Below are 6,000 nucleotides of genomic sequence, written 5' to 3'. Positions count from 1 at the left end.
CTGCCCCATTCCTGACACACCCTAGCTCCCAGAGGCCCCATCTTGGCCTTCCTACATTTATTCCATTGCATCTTCTTTGGCCCATGCAACCTAGCACTTGACGATAAGTCATCTCACAGTATTCTCTTATTTTGAGTTAGAGGAGCGTAGGGTCAAATCCCAGTTCTACCACTTACTAGCTGTGTGATCTTGGGCAAGTTGTCTAAATGTTTTTGCCCCTCAGTTTGCTTACCTGTTAAATGGGGGCAAAACTTGCTTTACAGGGTTCGTAAGGTGCCTGGCGCCTAACAGGTGCTCAGCAGATATTAGCTTTCTCCTTTCTCTGCTCATTGTTTCCTATGTGAATGGCACATCGCTCACTAGATTGTAAGCTCCTTCACGGAGCTTCCCTCCCTTCTTTCTCACCCAGTATCTAGCCTAGGGTTGGGCACACAAGAACTTGTTAATGACTCCTCATTGGCTAGGCTAAATGGACTTTTCCTGGCTGCCTCAGTAATGCTGATGGGGACCTGAAATGAACATAAGGGAATGCCAACGTTCCATTTTAGTGATATGAGGGTAACATGCTGAATTCTTTTTTTTTTTTTTTTTTGAGATGGAGTCTCGCTCTGTTGCCCAGGCTGGAGTGCAATGGCGTGATCTTGGCTTACTGCGACCTCTGCCTCCCAGGTTCAAGCGATTCTCTTGCCTCAGCCTCCCAAGTATCTGGGATTACAGGCACCCACCACCACGCCCAGCTAATTTTTTGTATTATTTAGTAGAGATGGGGTTTTACCATGTTGGCCAGGCTGGTCTTGAACTCCTGACCTCATGTGATCCACCCGCCTCGGCCTCCCAAAGTGCTGGGATTACAGGCATGAGCCACCACACCCGGCCAACATGCTGAATTCTTTACTTCCTTGATACAGTGTTATAGCAAAACTCATGTGCTAAGTCCTGCCTTTAGTGCAAACATAATTTTAGACACCAGTTATGCAGCTCAAGTAAAATTAGAAGCCAATGGTTTAAGTATCTTGACAAAATCGCTTCTTGATCTATTGCAGATGTGAAGTAGGAACAAGAAGCAATTACAGACTGACATGCTTATTGCCACAGAATTCAGAAGGTTATCAATTCTAACATAAGAATCTGAAATTGACCCTGTTACATCCATACCTAATCACTGTCTTGGGACCATACCTCAGTCAGTAGTCATTTGTGAGGTCCAATGGAAAGAGTAATGGATCAGGAAATGAAGACCAGAGCTGGAGTCCCAGATTCACTCATTCAGCCAAAAAACACTTACTGAATGCCTAACATGGGGCTAGGCTCTATGCATAACAGACCTGATCCTGCCCCATATGGAATTTACTACATTTGTAGCTGTGTGACCTGCGGGAATCACTTCATCTCTCTGGGTCTCATGCTCCCCATCTGCCAAATGGCGACAGATATATTTATATCATAAAGTAATTATTAGAATTATATGAGGGAATGCAGGGGCGAGAGCTCTGCAGACTGTGCTTGCTCTCTATTATTGTCCTCTATGTAATGGTTACATGAATAGCTTGTGATCACTTGAAAATTATGTCCTAAGTCTATTTCAAGGGGGCTGAACATGTTCTGCCTGTCTCATTTTCCTTCCTCACATGTTGTCAAGCCAACCAAAACCAGAGTGAGCAGGAGAAACAAAGAGAGTTATGCTGTGCTGGGCTACGTGTTACAGAGAATAGCACTCCACTTTGTGTTCTCAAGTGGGTTGGATTTCAGATAAGGTCCCATTATGAAATGAACCACGTTCCTACAAATGTAATGTTGAAGTCCTAACCTCCAGTACCTGTGAATTTGACCATATTTGGAAATAGGGTTTTTGCAGATGTAATCCAGTTAAGATAAGATCATAAGGGTCAGCCCTAGCCTGATATGACTTGTGTCCTTACAACAGGTAAATTTGGACACAGACACAGATAAAGGAGAATGCCATGTGAAGACACACACAGACACACAGAGGAGGCGGCCATGTGAAGATGGAGTCAGAGAGTGGAGTTGTGCAGCCACAAGTCAAGGAATGCTCGGGGCTATCAGAAACTGGAAGAAGCAAGGAAGGATCCTCCTCTACAAGCTTCAGAGGGAGTACGGCCCTGCCAACACCTTGATTTCATACTACTAGCTTCTGGACCTGTGAGAGAATAGATTTCTGTGTTGTAAGCCCCCCAGTTTGTGGCACTGTGTTATGGCAGCCCCAGGAAACCAATACAGTTCCAAAACAGCCACAGCCCTTCCCTCTGTTCTCCAGGTGGTCAGACGCCCCTTCCTTTTCTGCACTTGAATCCACATAATAAACAATGCCTCGATACAAGAGCCTCAAAGTGTGGGTCACCAGAATGGCAGAAGAGCTTGCATGGAATTCTGAATTTCATTGTACATTTTTCTTTTTTTTGAAACGGAGTCTCACAATGTTGCCCAGGCTAATCTCAGCTCACTGCAACTTCTGCCTTCCGGATTCAAGCATTTTTCCTGTCTCAGCCTCCTGAGTAGCTGGGACTACAGGCGCCTGCCACCACGCCCAGCTAATTTTGTATTTTTAGTAGAGACAAGGTTGCACCGTATTGGTCAGGCTGGTCTTGAACTCCTGACCTCACGTGATCCACCTGCTTGGCCTCCCAAAGTGCTGGGATTACAGGCGTGGGCCACCGTGCCCGGCCATTGCACATTTTTCAAATAAGTCAAGGTGGAAGCCAAGGTTGCCCTCCTTTACGCTTTCTGTTCTCAAGTTTGATGGAAAATAGCAAGAGCAGGCAGGCATGAGACCCACAGGCATGGGAACTGCTGAGTAAACAGCTGCTGCTGCTAGCTCTCAGCATGGAGACTATCTTGGGAAATCCGGGGGGTCCATTCTGGGCCCTGATAAAGGCCAGGGGCTTGCAGGAAAACCAGCCTCATTTAAGGTTTCCAAGAACTATACTGCAAGCTAGTCCAACCTGTGGCCCGCAGGCCACATGTGGTCTAGGACAGCTTTGTGGCCCAATACAAATTAGCAAACTTTCTTAAAACATTATGAGCTATCATTAGTGTTAATGTATTGTATGTGTGGCCCAAGACAATTCTTCTTCCAATGCAGACCAGGGAAGCCAAAAGATTGAATACCTCTGTGATATGGTTTGGCTGTGTCCCCCCGACAAATCTCATCTTGAATTGTAGTTCCCATAATCCCCCACGTGTTGTGGGAGGGACCTGGTGGGAGGTAATTACCCCCATGCTGCTGTTTTCGTGATAGTGAGTTCTCATGAGAGCTGATGGCTTTATAAGGGGCTTTCCCCCCTTTTGCTCATTCTTCTTCTTCCTGCCACCATGTGAAGAAGGGCGTGTTTGCTTCCCCTTCTGCCATAATTGTTAAGTTTCCTGAGGCCTCCCCAGCCATGCTGAACTGTGAGTCAGTTAAACCTCTGTCCTTTATAAATTACCCAGTCTCGGGTATGTATGTCTTTATTAGCAGCGTGAGAATGGACTAATATACCCAGCTATACTGTATCATGTGCTTCAGAGCCAGGCTGACAGCTTGTCTCTGCCTAGACTCCTCTACTCTTGCAACCAACCAGAGGCTGCCATCCTAGCAAAGGAGGTATCCCTTCTGTAGGACAGACAGCTGATTCATTTAATCAGTGCATATGTCTTATTTTGAAAAATTACTATTTGGCAACCAACAAAGTAATAACTGATTCAGGCAAGAGTCATCAACAGATCCTTAAACTAGAGAGCGAAATTTTTATGAGAAATGCGATATTTACATAGTCTCAAACTATCTCCCCATTTGTTAGTTATTAAGCATAAAAACAAAATAATATCTTTACAGTGGAAAAAACTGGCGGACATCATCTTAACCAAGGAATCAAGGTTAACATCACCAACCATCACATGCGTTTTTATGTTTCACCCCCACCAAAAATGTGTAACCTAGCTCTCATGAGGACACATCAGGCAAACCCAAGTTGAGGGACATTCTACAAAATAATTGGCCTGTACTCTTCCAAAGTGTTGATGTCACGAAAGACAAAGAAAGGTTGAGGACGGTTCCAGATTTAAGAAGACTTAAGAGATTAAGAGACATAAAAACTAAATACAATGTGTGATCCTAGACTGGATCATGGATGAAAAAAAGCTATGTGGGACATTATTGGGCCAATTAAAATTTGAATATGGACGGCAGATTATATATTAGTACACTGCAATAATGCTATATTTCCTGAATTTCATAACTCTACTGTCTTTATATAACAGATTGTCTTTGTTCTTAGGAAACACAGTTTGAAGTATTAAGGAGAAGAGGAACATGACGTCTGCGATTTATTCTCAAGTGTTTTAGAAAAAATATGTGTGTCTGTGTGCGTATGAGTAGAAAGAGAGAATGATAAAGCAGTTGTAAGAAGATGCTTACAAGAGATGCATCTTGATAAAGGGTATGTGAAAGTTCTTTTTACTGTTTTTGCATACTATTTTCTGTAAGTTGAAAGTACTTCAAATTAAAAATTAAAAAATATATTATTTTCAGCATTTAACGATGTGCCTGATGCTGTGCTAGGTGTGAGGTATTCAAGGGAGAACAAGACATGATCTTTACCTTTAGCTCACAGTCTGAAGCAGGGAGACAAAGTGGCAAGCACAATTCCTTGTGATGAAGGATGCTGTGAGCACACAGAGGAGGTACGCTAAACCCAGACTTCTCAAGCAAGGGAGTCAGTGGGGCTCTCTACAGAGGCGGGAAAGAGGAGGCTTAGAGTTGGGATAACTTATTTAGCTTGGGGTGCCAGTGAGACATGCAAGAAGTTGGGGGGAAGAAGCCAAGCCTGGACCTCTAAGCAGCAAGAGGAAGCCACCTGCCTCCTGAGGACAGACAACAAGGCACAGATTAGCAGGTGTCAGAGGCCAGGCTGAGGTTGTTATAGCCTCTAAGGTAACATAAGAAGCACAGACACCAGCAAAACAGCTTGGGGCTGAAAGGTTGAACACAAGTGTGCTTACTGATGACCTTTGCGGTGATGTATAATGGATGCCCGAGAGGTATCAGGCCCCAGATTGATAAATACAAGTAACCTGGATAAGGGCATGACCCCAAATTAGTTTAAGTTGCTAATAATAAATGTCACGGCAGGAAGAGAATGTCAAGCGATCATAAGAAACTAAAGAAGTGATTTTTTGAGAACAGGATGAGCTTTACCAGCAATAAGGATAAGGTAGTAGCCAATTAACACACAACAGGATGGGGAGAGATTGTTGTTAATAGAAAAAATCCTGAGGACAGTACCAGGTCCCGTAATAAAGGGAAATAGGGGAGGCAGTACTGCTGTTTCAGAAGTTGATGTGGGAATGGGAATTTCCATTCAATTATGAGATACAAGAGCCAGGATGAGAAAGTACACCGATGTTGTTAGCAAGGACCTAGTGGGAGTTTTATTTTCTTTTTAAACTTTTGTGCTATGAAAAGTTTACAAAAATAATGACAACAGCATTAGTTTAAGCCACATGAAATTGCCAAAATTTGACCATTTTTGATCTACAAACATGGCAATTTTGTGTTTTAAGTGAAAACAAACCCCCATATACCCATAACCCAGCTTCAGCAATTATTGACACATGGTCAATTTCATTTCCTCCAAATCCCCACCCATTATTCCAATAAACTGACTGATATAAAGGAAATCTCTGGTGGAAGTTTTTGTTGTGCTTTTGTTTTAATGATTTAATATCTATAAAAGAGATTCGAATTACATATGTACACATAGTATTAAAATTAAGAGATTCAAATTACGTGTATATATGTTTTTAGTTAATTATTTTCTCAGTAAGTAATACATTCAGATGGTTCACAATTCAAAAGGTACAAAAAAACAGGATACGTGAAAATTCCCTTCCAACCCCTGCTCACTTGCCAACAGCTCTCTCTCCTCAGGGGCAATGAATAGTAACAGTTTTATTATTTTGTTTAAAAACAGGGTCTTGCTCTGTTGTTCAGGCTGGAGTGCA

This window comes from Homo sapiens, chromosome X, assembly GCF_000001405.40.
Source record: "Homo sapiens chromosome X, GRCh38.p14 Primary Assembly".
Lineage (NCBI taxonomy): Eukaryota > Metazoa > Chordata > Mammalia > Primates > Hominidae > Homo > Homo sapiens.
This window is presented reverse-complemented; position numbering follows the sequence as displayed.